At 40.6% G+C, this 16575-nt stretch overlaps 1 long non-coding RNA gene across 1 annotated transcript, besides 2 other annotated features; it reads right to left on the bottom strand.

Moving 5' to 3' along the window:
- Positions 1898-2192: a silencer, noted in NCBI's record as "tiled region #10666; K562 Repressive non-DNase unmatched - State 7:EnhWF". NCBI's record gives its function as "weakly represses a minimal TATA promoter and a strong SV40 promoter by Sharpr-MPRA in K562 cells {active_cell/tissue: K562}" and the evidence as "EXISTENCE:reporter gene assay evidence [ECO:0000049][PMID:27701403]".
- Positions 1898-2192: an enhancer, noted in NCBI's record as "tiled region #10666; HepG2 Activating DNase matched - State 5:Enh". NCBI's record gives its function as "activates a minimal TATA promoter and a strong SV40 promoter by Sharpr-MPRA in HepG2 cells {active_cell/tissue: HepG2}" and the evidence as "EXISTENCE:reporter gene assay evidence [ECO:0000049][PMID:27701403]".
- LINC00184 (long intergenic non-protein coding RNA 184) lies at positions 10535-16004 on the bottom strand. Its single transcript, NR_033927.1, has 2 exons — positions 15568-16004; positions 10535-12367 (listed from the first exon to the last, which is right to left on the bottom strand). It is a non-coding gene; the product is annotated as a long intergenic non-protein coding RNA 184 (long non-coding RNA).
- Positions 16005-16575: the final 571 nt, after the last annotated feature.

The raw sequence follows: 16575 nt of genomic DNA, 5'->3' as shown, positions 1-16575 counted from the left end.
GCAGGATAATATTTGCTTTTATATGAGAAGTAAAATTATATTGTAGGGACCTAAATCATTGCAGGTATCTGTTTATGACATTTGTTGGAAAAAACTGGGACAGGATACTGTTTTCCTTCCTTTAATAATTTTAAATCACCTCCTACATGACAGGCGCTGTGAGATGAATATCTCATACTTACATATACACGCGCCTATTATTTCCACATCTCTGATTTTTCCCTGTACCCAGGGATTTACTTCTAGTCATAAAAGATGGCTTACCTTAGATTTCCTGCCATAAAGCTCCTTCCCTTTATACTAAGTCTTACTTTCTACAGTTGGCTTAAGAGACACATTTTATAATGAGAAAGCTAAAATGGAGTCTTTTTAAAGACATGCCCAAGACACACATAATAGCAAGATGACTACTTCATTCCTTAATTTGTGGTCCATTGAGATGACTGATTGACATATAGATAGTCAGACAGATCAGTAGATACATAAATAGCTACATGGATGAAAGACAGATGATAAAGAGAGAGAGAGATGAAACACAGACGATAGAGAGAGATGAACAGTTTCTCACCCTTGGTGTACGAAGTGAGGAAGTCAAGGTAAAACAATGGCAAGCACTATGCCTCGGTCATAGTACCCACTTCAAATTGGAGAGCATGGTCAAGTCAACCTTCTAGAAAGAAACAAGAGCCGTGTCAACTTTGTCATTCAAATAAATGTCCACTATGAATACTGTGCCTTCTTAAAGAACTTGGAGCTCAACATTTTGACATTTCATATAGTAGCTAGCACATTATGACCATGTAGTAGATGTTATAGTGAATTGTGTCCCCCAAAATTCATATGTTGAACCCCTAACCCCACTAACCTCAGAATGGGACTCTATTTGGAGACGGGGTCTTAAAGAGGTAATTAAGTTCAAATGAGGTCATTGCTGTGAGCCCTAATCCTATACGACTGGTGTTTTTTAAGGAGAGGAAATTAGGATACAGATGCACTCAGGGTGAAATCCGTGTAAGGTGAACTGGTGAAGGTGGCTATCTATAAGGCAAAGAGAAAGGCCTCAAGAGAAACCAAGCCTGATGGCACCTTGATCTCAGACATCTAGCCGCCAGAATTGTGAGAAAATAAGTTTCTATTGTTTAAGCCACTGAGTCTAGGGTACTCTGTTATAGTAGCCCTAGCAAACTAATATAGTAAATATTTAAAAAATCAGCTTCTCTTCAATTTATTTGGAAAAAAAGAGACAGTATTACCAATACTTACATTTATGTAGTAAGGCAGCATGGAAAATGGGTATATACTTGCTTTTGTCTGGGCCTGGGTTCAACTCACTGGCTCTACCACTCTCTAGCAATGCATGTAACCTTGGACAAATTACTGAATCTCTTTGTGCCTCAGTTTGCAGATCTGTAAAATGGGGTAATAATAGTACTTATCTCACAAAGTTGTTAGGAGGAATAAATGAATTAATAATATTTGAAAGCACTTAGAATAGTGCTTAACACATTGTGACCAATGCATAAATATGAAATACAACAGTTGGAAAGTATTGTGAAATCCAGTCTATAAAATCCTTTTAAATTCTAACAATTAAAAAAACATGTAAGTGTATTCTTATTACAGTGAGAAAATATGTCACAGCATTCAGAGTTTCTAGTCTGTTTAGTAGAAGGGTTATTGGGTTGAGTTTGCATTTTGGGGAAGAGGGAATGTGCTCTAACGACGAAGATGGTCATGACCCATGCACCCTGATGTCAGTGATTGTGAACCATTTCCGGAGAGGATTTTAACATTTGCCAAAGCTTTCACGCTTACTGGCTTTCCCCGCAACATTCATTGCCATGAGAACCATGGAGAGGGTACAGAATGTGTGCTGAAAAATGTTCACAGGTGCTATTTGCACATGACTTGCTGTAGGACGGGGGTAAACACAACTTGGTTTCTACTGGTCAAACTTTAACTCAAGATAAACTTGCTGACTGTGAAGTGTACCGCGTGATTGTTCAGTGTGTGACAGCAAACATAAACAGTCGGGGGAGCGGGGGCGTCCCAGGGTCCAGGGACCAGTGTGTGTGTCTTTCAGGAAGGCCAGCCTGGCTGCAATCTGCTCTGGTCGGGCGGCACCCCGCAGCTTGCCTCTGCTTGTGGGTTGTCAATGGGGAACATCACATGGTTGACTGTGAATGTGTTTGGGGACTTAGAGCTCCCAGCCCACTGATTTTTAATACTCATTATGGTTTCTGCTTGGAAATCCTGAAGGACTGGCAACTGCCTAGATAGCAGTTTTGACCAATAGAATCTTAAACAGAAATGACCAGTCATGGAAAATGAGTTTTTTAAAAATTAACTTAAAAAAATTTTAGACTCAGGGTATACTTGTGCAGGTGTGTTAGAAGGGTATATTGCATAATGCTGGGGTTTGGGCTGCTATTGAATCCATCACCCCAATAGTGAACATAGTACCCAATAGGTAGTTTTTCAGCCCTTACCCCACTCCCTTTGTCTCCCCTTCTGGAATCCCCAGTGTCTACTGTTTCTGTCTTTATGTCCACGTATGCCTATTGTCTAGCTCTCATTTATAAGTGAGAACATGACATTTGGTTTTCTGTTTCTATGTTAATTCACTTAGGATAATGGCATCCAGCTGCATCCATATTGTTGCAAAGGACATGATTTTATTCTTTTTTAGGGCTGCATAATATTCCATGGTACCACATTTTCTTTATCCAGCCCACCAGGAATGGGCACTTAGGTTGATTCCATCCTCTTTGCTATTGTGACTAGTGCAACTATAAACATCTGAGTGCAGGTGTCTTTTTGACATAACGATTTCTGTTCCTTTGGGTAGTTACCCAGTAGTGGGGTTGCTGGGTCAAATGGTAGTTCTATTTTTAGTTATTTGAGAAATCTCCATACTGTTTTCCATAGGGGATGAACTAATTTACATTCCCAATAACAGTGTATAAGCATTCCTTTTTCTCCACATCCTTGCCAGCAGCTGTAATTTATTGATTTTTTTTTTTTTTGAGACGTAGTCTTGCTCTGTCTCCCAGGCTGCAGTGCAGTGGTGTGATCTCAGCTCACTGCAACCTCCACCTCCCAGGTTCAAGTGATTCTTCTGCCTCGGCCTCCCGAGTGGTTGGGACTACAGGCACACGCCACCAGGCCTGGCTAATTTTTGTATTTTTAGTAGAGACGGGGTTTCACCATATTGGTCAGGCTGGTCTTGAACTCCTGATCTCGTGATCCGCCCACCTCGGCCTCCCAAAGTGCTGGGATTACAGGCTTGAGGCACCACCCCCAGCCTATTGACTTTTTAATAGCCATTCTCACTGGTGTGAGATGGTATCTCATTGTGGTTTTAATTTGCATTTCTCTGATGATTAGTGATATTGAGTATTTTCTCATATGTTTGTTGGCCACTTGCATGTATTCTTTTGAGATGTGTCTATTCATGTCCTTTGCCCACTTGGAAAATGAGTTTTATAAACCAATTGGGAAAAGAGGAAAGTGTCATCAATAGGGAGATAGCACCTGAGATAGATTTTGGAGGATATGACTTCTCTGAGATCAAACTTGCCTTTGATACACTGGGAACATTTTTATGAGCATAAAAATTCTAAAAGAGACTTGAAATATTTTTCTCTCATGTCATTTCAATCCATGGAGCTATTAAAATTTTCAAAACTTCAGGGCAAGAAAGATATATATCATCCGAATGTAAGCATTTGAGTAAGCAATCTCTGCCAGGGGTGGGGCGGGTAGGTTGACAATACTTAATATATATTTTTATTTACATAGAACTGAGCCATTGCTAGCCTCACATATCTAGAAAATAGCTTAGAAACAATGAATTTTTTAAAAAATAAAACAACACTTGAGAGACGCTTTTCTTATGCTTTTCTCAGAGAAGAACCAGCCCTCAGTTCCTGACTTGAAAAGCATTTATGTTTATTGCACACATATCCTTAACCAGTGTGAGTTTCTCTATGCCCACAGCAATTTAGAAATAGAAAATCAGCATTAGGGAGAAGGCTTTGCATAGTCTTGCACACTAACAAGAGGTAACTGCTGATGGCCCAAAGAAGAGAGCAACAGAAAAAAAATGTAAAAAACAGACAGGCACAAGAATTCCAAAAGGCACAGTAATTTGGGACCTCTCAGGTGTGCAGGCAAATATTTCTCTCCCTCTCTCTTTCTCTCTCTCTCTCTCTCTCTCTGTGTGTGTGTGTGTGTGTGTGTGTCTTTCTCTCTCACTTCTCTCTCTCTCTCCCCCCAACCATGGCCTAAACCTATTATTTTTTATCCGATAGCAGTGAAATCAGTTCTTTTTGTGATAATGTTACAACCAAGAAAAGAAAAAAATAAGAAGTTAAATAAAGTTCCTCCACTCTTTAAGAAAGCAGGGGCGGTTGAGTTACATTTTAGAAAGTGTTCTGCCAAAATCTTCTCTTTTGTTCCTTCTTTATTCCCTTCCTCCCTCCATTCCTTTTTTCTTTTTCTTTCTTTCTTTCTTTCTTTCTTTCTTTCTTTCTTTCTTTCTTTCTTTCTCTTTTCTTTCTTTCTTTTCCTCCCTCCCTCCCTTCCTTCCTTCCTTCCTCCCTCACTCTCCCTCTCTTTCTTTCTCTTTCTTTCTTTCCTTCCCTTCCTTCCTTCCTTTCTCCCTCCCTCCCTCCTTCTCTCTCCCCCTTTCTTTTTTCTCTTTCTTTCTTTTTCTTTCTTTCTCTCTTTCTTTTTCTTCTTTCTTTCTTTCTTTCTTTCTTTTTTCTTTCTTTCTTTCTTTCTTTCTTTTTCTTTCTCTCTCTCTCCCTCCCTCCCTCTCCTTCCTTCTTCCCTCCCTCTCTGCCCACCTCCCTTCTTTCCTTCCTTCCTTTCTTTCTTTTGGTGCTTTGAAGGACCAGCTCTTACTTGCCTAGAACTCAGCAATCCAGAATGGCTACAAAGCAAGCTGAGATTTTATGGTGTTTGTGCCATCATTTGCCAGTATATAGATGTGGGATTACACACTGTGTGATCAATGTTAGTTCCTATCCTTTAAGAATCGTCTCATGATTTTTAAGTTCCTGAACAGCCGAACGATTGTTGAAGATACTGTTACTTGAAAGGAAAAGAAATAAGGAGAAAAAAAATGAATGGAGGGAATTGTTAGATGATATGTTAGAACAAACATGACATCATCAACATAGTGGGAGGGTAAAAGGGAGTTCCCTTAAGGCACAAACAAAATTTCACCGTCCCATTTATTTTTACTTTTAGTTTAGTTCACAGACTTCAGAACCTGCTCATTATCACCAAATGCTCTTTCAAATGATGAAGTACTGAAAGAAAAACCTAAGTCACCTCCACATATGATATATAAGAAATGTTGGCACATCCAGATCTTCCTAAGGAAAGAGGGTTTGACTACAGCAATGTTGAATGCAAGCCTTATCAATTGCATCCTTCCTTCCTTCTTCCCACTCATAATACACACATATGCCCCTTGTATGTTAGGAACATTGTACTGGAGGGAATGTATAAAAACTCTAAGTTAATTCTTTTCTGAGGGCTTGCTATCAGCCAGGTACAGGGTTAAAGTACAAATACTTGATTATCACTTGACCACACCCTTGTGAGGAAACTGATGCTCAAGAAATTTAAGTAAAGTTTCTGAAAGACACACAGCTTGCAAACAACAGAGATGGGATTTAAAACAAGGTTGTTTATTAACCACTGGGCTCCACTACCTGCCAATGGGGTGTAAATAGTGATCCCTGGAAATAAATGACCCCCATTTTCTTAAAGGGCAGGGATAGGTTGAGAAAAATAGCCACTTTGATGGTATAGACCTGGAATGTGTGGAGGACCTTTGCACTACGCAGAATGGAATTGCTGGGCCCACTGATGTCGCTTAATAATTGACAGATGGCCTGTCTAAGTGACTCACATGCAACTCAGATTTCAGGGCTGGAAAGGCCATGGGCTAATGTGGAAAGGAGGTGCATCCCTGGGCAGGTTCTGTGGCCAACCACCCTGTTTAGACAGCTCTCCGTTCACAGAGAGCTTTCTGCTACAGTGAGCAAAATGTTTACAACCTGATGCCAACTTTTATCATACATCGAGAGGCTGCCTGTAACCAAATCACCCCTGCCCTGGGCAATGTGCTCTGTGTACAGATCTCCATCAGTCACACAACAGGTGCTTAATTCTTGGTGACAAAAGGTGACCTCAATTTCTTTAAAGATATAGCAAGCCCTAAGGATCCAATTATATGGAGATTGGGCCAAGTGATCCTAGAGGCCTTGCCTTCCACTATTTTGAGGTATTTACAAAATGCAGATAAAGGAATTGGAAAATAGAAATATGTAAACTGGGAGAAGAGAGAGAGAGGGAGAAATTGACTTCTGAAATTATTAGCCTGTCAACCTAACATTGGAGAAATATAGCAACCATTGATGAAAATATCAAGTTGTCAGCACTTAAACAGAGTGCTAAGAAAGCACTAAGCTGTACAACCATGTAACACACCAAGCCTCTTGGACTAACACAATTTCCTTATGAGACAAAATGGAATATGATGAAGCTGCAAATGCTTTGCCTCCACACTTCAGTGAGACCAGGCTAAGCAGGTGGGCCTGAGTCCTAGATACTTGGGCAAAGGTTAGACTCCTTAGGAGTAAGCTTGGGCGAGTTTGCCAAATCTTTGGTAATGGTTCATTCTTTAGCATTACAGGACAGTCACAAGTACCTAGAACATGAGCTTCTTGCCTTCACCTTGCAGACCTGACATTGTTGCTTTTTTGTGGTCTCCTGACTCTTAGGCGTAAAGTCAGAGGCCAACACTTATTGAGTAAGTGCTCAATAACACTGGTTGATGGCAATAATAGGTGCTCTGTAAGTACCTGCTCTTTGAGTCATTAATGCTTGAAAACACAGTATTTAATCATAATACTCCACCTCACTACACTAAAGCCAAAACACGGTGTCCACATTTCTGATTTAGGGAGAACATTTGTCATTTTTTAAAAAAGTATATAAATACCATAACCTTCAAAATTATTGAGATTTTTGACATTAAAAGCAATACAGAGTCATTGTAGAAAAATCTTAGAACACTAAAATATAGGCCAGGCGCAGTGGCTCACGCCTGTAATCCCAACAGTTTGGGAGGCCAAGCAGGGTGGATCATGAGGTCAAGAGATCAAGACCATCCTGGCCAACATGATGAAACCCCATCTCCACTAAAAATACAAAAATTATCTGGGCACGGTGGTGCGCACCTGTAGTCCCAGCTACTCGGGAGGTTGAGGCAGGAGAATCGCTTGAACCTGGGAGGCAGAGGTTGCAGTGAGCTGAGATCATGCCACTGCACTCCAGCCTGGGCAACAGAGTGAGAATCCATCTCAAAAAAATAAAAAAAAATACTAAAAAATACAAAGAACCAGAAACAATCACCTGTAATCTCATAATCCTGCCACTTAGAGATAATGAGTTAACATTTTAGTGTATTTCTTTCCAATTTTTTCACATATATTATATATACACACACATTCATACATATTTAAAATTATAATTGTATGGAATATATGGCTGTATATCTGTCTTTTTCATGGAATGTTATAGATTGGGCATTTTCATTGATCAACAGCCATCTCTGAAAATATGATTTTTACATATCTACACTGCATTCCATCATCTGAATGGACTACGATTAATTTAAGTGTTTCCTCATTTTTGTATATTGGGGTTTTTTTCCCAAATTTTCCTATAGTCTAAGGAATGCTTCAGTGAACATGCTTATCCATAAATCATTCTACACATTTCTGATGATTTTGTTAAGATAAATATCCACAAGCAGAATTACTAGGACAAGGGAATATAAACACTTTTATGGCTCTTGTTATACATTTCTCAAAATATTTTTTAAATTATTCTTTTCTGCATCTCTTTTATTTTATTTTAGATTCGGGGGTACATATGCATGTTTTCAGGGGGTACACGTACATAGGCATGGGTATATTGCATAACAGTGGGATTGGGCTTCTAGTGTACTTGTTACCCAGATAGTGAACATAGGCCAGGTGCGGTGGCTCTCATGTGTAATCCCAGCACTTTGGGAGGCCGAGGTGGGCGGATCACTTGAGGTCAGGAGTTTGAGATCAGCCTGCCCAACATGGCGAAACCCTGTCTCTACTAAAAATACAAAAATTAGCCAGGCGTGGTGGCGCATGCCTGTAGTCCCAGCTACTGAGGAGGCTGAGGCAGGAGAATCACTTGAACCTGGTGGGCAGAGGTTGCAGTGAGCCGGGATCGCGCCATTGCACTCCAGGCTGGGCGACAAAGCGAGACTCCGTCTCAAAAAAGAAAAAAAAAAAAAAGATAGTGAACATAGTGCCTAACAGGTAATTTTTGAACCCTTGCCCCTCTCCCATTCTCCCCTACTTTGGAATCCACAGTGTCTATGATTTCCATCTTCATGCCCAAGTGTACCCATTGTTTAGCTCCCACTTATAAGTGAGAACACATGATATTTGAGATCAAAAGGAAGTTGTGGAGAGAAATGACAGGTTTGGTTCTGTGTTTTTAGCCCTATTGCCTCCTTTCGTCCAGCCCATGCCAGTATACCCATTTGTCATCTTTAGGCTTGTTCGTCCTGTTGATCGTGCCCTGCATCTCAAGAGAACTCACCCTAGAGAGGTCTCTGTTATCCATGGTCTGTGTTGCTTCGTTCACACGTGGGGCCTGTGATCCGGGGGTCCCATGCATCCTGATGCACCCTTTGTGGAAACAGGAATTGCTCTGCAGAGAGTTGGTTTCAAGGCTAGAACAAACCCTACAATCATTGGCCTATTGTCTAAAAAAGTAAGTAAAAATACACAAGAAAGATTGATTCCATTGAATTAAAAATCCTAAATTACTTTCTGACCCTTTGGAGGTATTTCTGCACAGCTCTTCCCAGCATTCTAGCAGATTTCAGAAACTCAAGGGACATTTTTAGCCACAGAAAAAGTTGTTGAATCCAAAAAACTCAATGAGGATCATTTTCAAATATAATGTTCTGTTATATGCAACGATAACCTGAAGTTAGGATTATTTCAATTGTTTCTTTTATGTAGTAAAATACTAAGTTTGCTGTTTACTTTAAAAGGTAGGTGGGATTTCTAATTGCATTTAATCTGACGATTAAAATAATCAGATTTTGCCCTTTTTTTCTGAAAATTTACTTTGCAATGAGCACAGACTACATTCATGTTAATCATAAATGCTCTCCTCCCCTTTCCAGGTAAGCTGAATTTTAATTATTATAATAGGTGGATTTTCTTAAGCGTTTCTCCTTATCCTTCCTTATGGCCTACTTTCCCATCTTACTTTACTTTTTCCCCCTTCATCTTCTATGTTATACAAAACATATTCTGAAAAATTTATGCAAAATAAATTAATATTATATGTAAACAGCGTCATCAAATATATTCCCACATTTCAGGAATTTGGATGGAAGTTCCTGCTGATAGATTCATAGAGTCAAAGGAAAAAAAAAAGATTTAGTTGGGAGCTTGGGATATTAAACATAATTCCCTCATTTGAGTAAGGAAACCGGAGCCCAGAGAGGTGAGCCTTTGGGTTTGTCATTTGATCAAGTGTACAGAGCAGGAGCAATAATAAACATAATAACTGACTTCTTTACAGCCCTTTACACTTTATAAAACACATTCACATTCAACATTTACAGGTATCGCAATTCTGGCCTTTCAGTAAATGAAACGCCCCTGTGCTCTATTTACCTCCAGGAGACCAATGTGGCTGATTTTATATTTGGTATTATTTCATTTATTGGCTGCTGCTGATGGCAGCACCCTTCACCTGGAGACTCGGAGGCATTTCAGATGGATTCATGTATGAAACAGCAGGCTAACTAACACTGTGAGTGGGCCGATGTTAAGCGGAGAGTAACATATCCTGCCCTGCCAGTGAAAAAACCACAGCCACGTCTGAGGGGCAGAATCCCAGTGTCAGTGGGATTTGAAGATTTGTAAAAAGCTGTTACTGGCCACGTCTGCCATTTGGGAATCCAAGGACCAGATTAAATCTCAAAGAAACCCAAAGTTGTGCTCTTCAATGGCCAAGGGTGGGTTTCTCCAATGAAAGCATCAAATCAGATGTCTTTGTCAGTTACGTCTTCATGGAAGGTGGTGGTAAGGACTTACATGACATCATAAAATAAGGTTAATCATGGCTGGGTGCGGTGGCTCACACCTGTAAGCCCAGCAATTTGGGAAGCCGAGGTGGGTGGATCACGAGGTCAGGAGTTCGAGACCAGCCTGACCAACATGGTGAAACTCCGTCTCCACTAAAAATACAAAAATTAGCTGGACGTGGTGGTGCATGCCTATAATCCTAGCTACTCAGGGGGCCGAGGCAGGAGAATCGCTTGAACCTGGGAGGCAGAGGTTGCAATGAGCTGAGATCGTGCCACTACACTCCAGCCTGGGTGACAAAGCAAGACTCCATTTCAAAAATAAAATAAAATAACATAACGTTATTGACTTATCTGAGATCGTTTTCCTATGAATTTATTGACATTTTCAACATTTAATTGAGCATTTCTGATTTTCAGGCACGGAGGGATGTGGAGGAGAACAAGGCATGACGCTGTCCTGAAAGTGCTCCTAGTCTGGTAGGCACGTCTGTCCTGCCACGTCTCCAGAATCTATCTTGAGTTGTTGCAGTGCTGCACTTCCTTTGTAGATGACGGCACAGTTCATTATGACTCTTCGGAATATCTCAGCCTTTTCATCCATGTAGTGAGTTTTGCATCAGACATTTACTCTTTAGCAGGGTGGATTAGTTTCTTAGAACTGTCATAACAAATTACCACAAACTGAGTGGCTTAAAGCAACACAAATTTATTCTCATAATTCTGGAGTCTAGAAGTCCAAAAGCAAGGTGCCGCCAGGGTCAGGCTCTTTCTGATGGCTCTAGGGGAGGGTCAGTCCCATGCCTTTCTCTTAGCTTCTGGTGTGGCTCACGGCCCTTGACATTTCTTGGCTTGTAGATGCATCACTCCAATCTCTGTCTCAATTGTCACACCATGTTCTCCTTATGTCTCTTCCTTGCTTCTCATAAGGACACCAGTCATGTTGGTGGAGGCCCACCCTAATTCAGTATCATCTCATCTTTGCTTGATTACATTTATAAGACCATATTTTCAAATAAGGTCACATTCACAGGTACCGTGGGTTGGGTCATCAACAGAGCTTTCTAGAGGGTACAATTTCACGCATAACAGGGGATTCGATTCATCCAAACCCTTTCTCAGCAGAGACAGTAAAAGTACTTTCCCCTTCAGCTGCCAGATTGCAGTTTCATATGGCTGTGCTCACAATAAAGCAGAAAGGCCAGGGTTCCTTGAGCTCCAGAGTGGGCCACAGATGGTTAAAACAATGTGGAACATGTTTTCAGGGGAGAGAGGACAGAGCAGCCTAAAGTGGTCCTTCCAATAAGTGACATTGCATGTGTCCCTCTCGCTTTCATCTTTATGTGTGTATCACACATTATCCTTCATCCTAATGTCTTTTTCTCCTGGTTCCAGTGAAGCGGCAAAGAGAGTAAAAGTGCTGAGCTCCTGCTGTAAGTCAGGTGCCATTCATGCCCCCCAATCCATTTGGACCGCTCACTGTCCATTCTCTGTGACAGGGGTTACAGCCACTGTCCTGATAGATCCTGTTTTGCTACTCTTAATTGAGTTTGAATGGCCTACCTGGTAGAGCTTTCATTTAGGCAGCAGAGTGCACATCTTGTTTCCATTTCAATCATTTGCATTGGAAGTGCTTTTTCCCCCTAATGAATACATAGTCATAAAGAATCCAGTTCAGCCTGTCGTGCTGTTGCCACTGGCATCAGCTGGAAGGCTGGCAAGTAATGATCCCACCTGGAAGAGCACAAAGCAGTCAGCCCCTGTGCTCTGTACCGTGTAACTCACCCATACCGTGGCCCTTGTTCATTCCAGCATGGCTCCTACTTCACATGTGGGGCTGTTTCTGTTTCTATTCATTCTGTGTGATGCCTTGCTTGACCCAACATCATGAATGGAAAATTGTGATGGGCCTAATCCCTTCACTCTGCATTCTCCAGGGAAGGTGTTGGTCTCAACAGGAGCTAAAGTTTTCCTGGGAAAGGAGAGCCATGAGAGAGAAGTTTTCCTTTCCCCATAGGTGGTCCCCAGCAGAGAGGCAGGAAGGTTTATGCACAAAACTGTAGGAAGAATGATTGCCTCCTCTGGCCATCAGATTGTGACTTAGCTTCTTGTGGCAAGTGGCACTTCATTGGGTGTTCTAAAGACACATTCATCATAGTCCCTGCTCATTGGTAACATAATATCTAATATGAACTGCAAGGACAAGACAAACATATAAAGAACATTTAGGCAACTAAAGAAGTATATTAAAAAATCTTTAGATTGTGTATAGGCAAAAGGAAACTGCATTTTCTGATGAAAGAATTCAAGTTGTAAGAGCTCCTTTGGGGAGGAATGGCCATCTTTCTTCCAATTACAGAAAATTTTGTAGCAAACTAATTTAAAAAAATCTTTATATCCTAATTCATTTAGTAACCAATTAAGTGTATAGTCAAGATTCTTAGTTTCAAGTGATGAAACTCAAATAAGGGCAATATATTTGTTTATGTACCTGAAAATGCTCAGGCTAAACACAGTGGCTCATGCATGTAATTCAGTTACTTTGGGAGACCAAGGTGGGAAGATCACTTGAGGCCAGGAGTTCAAGACCAGCCTGGGCAACATAACATGACCTCATCTCTACAAAAAAAAAAAAAAAAAAAAAAATCACTGGGCACAGTGGCACATGCCTGTAGTCCCAGCTACTTGGGAGGCTGAGGAAGGAGAATCATTTGAGACTAGGAGTTGAGGCTGCAGTGAGCCATGATTGCACCAATGCACTCCAGCTTAGGCAACAGAACAAGACCCTGTCTCTAAAAAAAAGAAAAAAAAAAGTTCAAGGGTGGTTCCAGATCCTTGAAAAATGTCTTCAGGAATATTCTCCAGGCTTTAGCTTTGCCTTCTTCTCTCTTGATTTCATTCTCAAGCAGGCAATCACTATTTTTTTGACAAGATGTCCACCAGAAGCTCCAGGCTAATTTTCTATTGGTTTAACCACCCCAGAAGAGAATTTATCCTTTCCAATACTTCTAGCATAACCCCTGTGGCTGACAATGTTGGTTCTGATAAGCTCAGCATGTAACATATACTCATTCTTGAATCACCAGCATGGTTAAAATTCTCATTGGCCAGACTTGGACCACATGCCCCACCCCTGGGGTTAGGGGTAAGAGTCAACCCCACCAGAAAACAAAGACTGAGAGTCAGGGAGGGGTGGTTCTTTAAAAGAAAACTAGGGTCTTGGTATCACAGGAGGAAGTGGATGTTGATCAAGCCAAAGTCCCAGATGCCCATGACACTATACAAAAAGAATGTACATTGTTCTGAGATGCTGATTAAGAAATACAAATCAACCTCCGCTTTTGAAAGTAGTTTTAAAAGAGGTCAACTTTCAGTGTCTTTCATGGAATTTCTGATTACTTTGAGCTAGTAATCAAGTCAACAATAAATTCTTTGTTTCTCTTGCAAACCCACATTGTCTAGGAACATTTCCTATTAATATCTATTTTAGAGTATCACATGAGTCTTGAGTCCTTCTTTCAGGAATAAAGGTAACAAACTGACAGAGATAAAAAACAAACAAAAAAAAGTGGTGGGGTAATTTTAAAATTTTTATGTCATAATTTTCTTCAGCAGGAAATTCTATTTGGCTGAGTGATTTTTGAACAGAGAGCAAATAATCATTTAGATATTTTTTTCTCTCTCTTTTTTTGAGACAGAGTCTTGTTCTATTGTCTAGGCTGGAGTGCAGTGGCGTGATCTCGGCTCACTGCAAGTTCCACCTCCCGGGTTCACGCCATTGTGCTGCCTTAACCTCCTGAGTAGCTGGAACTACAGGTGCCTGACACCATGCCTGGCTAATTTTTTGTATTTTTAGTAGAGATGGGTTTTCACCGTGTTAGCCAGGATGGTCTCGATCTCATGACCTTGTGATCTGCCCACCTTGGCCTCCCAAAGTGCTGGGATTACAGGCGTGAGCCACCGCGACTGGCCTAGATTTTTTTAAAAAGATAAAAAGCAATCACTATGTTTAGTACATGTAATGAAAAAAATATGAAAGAAACTCTCTCATGGGCTAGATACTGCCATTTTCTGGGACGGCACTATAATGTCTATCTCCAGTTCTAATTTTCTTTTTCACCTCAAAATTTTAGTATTCACTGTGACTTATATTTGATTTGTTGGATTCTTAATAATGGCTAAATTTAATTCCACTTTTTCTCTCTTTATAATCAGGGCCAGATTTTTAAAAAGAAATCCACACACTATAAATCCAAAAACCAAGTTATATTAAAAGTCAGATTTTCGACTGCATGGAGGGTCAGCGCCCCCAACTCCTGCAGTAGTCACAGGTCAACTATATATGTGTACACATGCACATACATCTAGTGTTTATGTATATTCAAATGTACATACATGTTTGCTGTATTTTTCATAATGTAATGAGTGCTTCCTATGCAGCAGGCACTGCGTTGTACTGGAGACCATCTTTGCCTCACAGAGCTTACATTTTAGTTGGGGAGATAGTGACAAACAAATGAATAAATACATCAACCAGATGATTAAAGACTGTGATCAGAGCCATGTAGGAAGTAAACACGGTGGTGAGACAGACGAAAGCTGGGAGAGCCCATTGTAGGTGGGAGGTCAGAGAACCTCCCTGAAAAGGTAACATCTTCAGTAGGGCCTCATGGAGGTGAATGATCAGTCACTACAGCAGAACAGAAGGCAGGCCAGTGTAATTGTGGTGGGGTCATTGGGGTAGGCAGGAGACAAATCAAGCAGGGCTTCATAAACCATGGTAGAAATATAAATTCAATTCTAAGGTAAACTGGAAGTCAGGAAGGGATTCATAGCCAAGAAGTGGCATAACTTGATTCAAATCTTAAAATGGTCACTTTTGCTCCTATAGAAAGAACGTGTGTCTCTATGAGAAATAAAATAGAGGCTTAAACAAGAGATTCCTCCAATATAAAAGCACTGTGGATGGGGTTAAGAGTCCCAGATGGGCCCAACAGCTCCACATCCATCAGAAACCTAGTCTTCTCTATCACCCTACCCCATTGTCTTAGAAAATGGTTTCCATTCACAGAAGTGCAAGATGGCCAGAGCAATTCCTGACATTTTGTCTGAGTGCTGAACTATAAAAGAAAGGGAACAAAAGACAACAGAAGTTTTCCCATCCCGTCCAAATCAGCTTCCTTGAAGCATCCTGTTTCAAAGTCACACAAAACACTTCTGCTTACATCTCATTGGCCAGAATTTAGTTACATGGTTACACTTAGCAGGGGAGGTGAGGAAACATGGTCTCTCACTTATGATGTCTACATCAGTAAGATACTTACAGCTATCAGAACAAGCAATCAAAATACGCTTAATGGCTCAAACATGATACAGGATTACTTCTCACTCACATGAAGTCCAAAATGATGTTCTGGATTGGCAGGTGGTTTTCCTCCAAGCAAGGATCTAAGGACCCAGGTTTCTTCTATCTTGTGCCTCTTTCACCTTCAACACTTGTCTTCCAAGATCTTGTTACTTAACTGCATTAAGCTGTGGAAAGATAAAGAGTATAGAGAACCATTGTGAGTTTCTGTAGGCCAGGACTACAGAAGTGTGAGTAGAAGGGACACATCACTTCCACTCACTAACGGCCAGAACTCAAACACACAGCTGCATATAACTGCAAGGGAGGCTGAGAAATGGCATCTGGTTGTGCCCAAGAAGAAGACCTGGGCTCATGACATGACCAGCCAGCAGCCTCTACCACTGGGGAAATGAGTCCAGCCAAAAACTAGGGTTCTGTTACAAAGAAAGAACCTTGGGAGATAGGTGGCAGTTTGTGTCACACGAGGCGACAGTGGAAACAGAAGACCAGTTCCACTAAAGAGCTAGCAAGCAAATAAATACTTGCCATCTGCCAGCAATGAGAGGGCACACTCAGAACCAGAAGATGACATAGTTCTACTGCAGATTCTGTTTCGCAATGACGCTCCTGCAAAAATATCTCAAGGATTTGCCTTCAGCCTACAAAACATTCTCAAAATGAAATTGCTATGATTAGTCAATTTAATTTTTATTTATTATTTGATTTTATTAATATTATAGAAAGCTTTTTAACAGTCTAGATGTGCTCCATAATCAGATATTGAGGCTTTACAGGTTTGGCCATACAGAGAGAAATATAGTATTAGTGACATAACATTGCTGCAAACCCAACTGAAGAAATTCCTGGTTGTGAGCTTTTACATATAATGTGTTCATTTTGAAATAATACTTTTATGTTCCAAATTTCTGTTTCCATTGATCATTTATTAATTTGTTTTTTTTATCTTGAGTTTTATTTAATCTACAAAATATACTACTGCAAGAGAGAAGGGTACTGGCTGGGGGAGTACCCAATGCTCACAACCATTCTCACT

The sequence above is a fragment of the Homo sapiens genome, chromosome 1 (genome assembly GCF_000001405.40).
Source record: "Homo sapiens chromosome 1, GRCh38.p14 Primary Assembly".
In the NCBI taxonomy this organism is placed as follows: Eukaryota; Metazoa; Chordata; class Mammalia; order Primates; family Hominidae; genus Homo; species Homo sapiens.
Note: the sequence above shows the minus strand (reverse complement) of the source record. Positions and strands in the feature narration are given on the sequence as shown.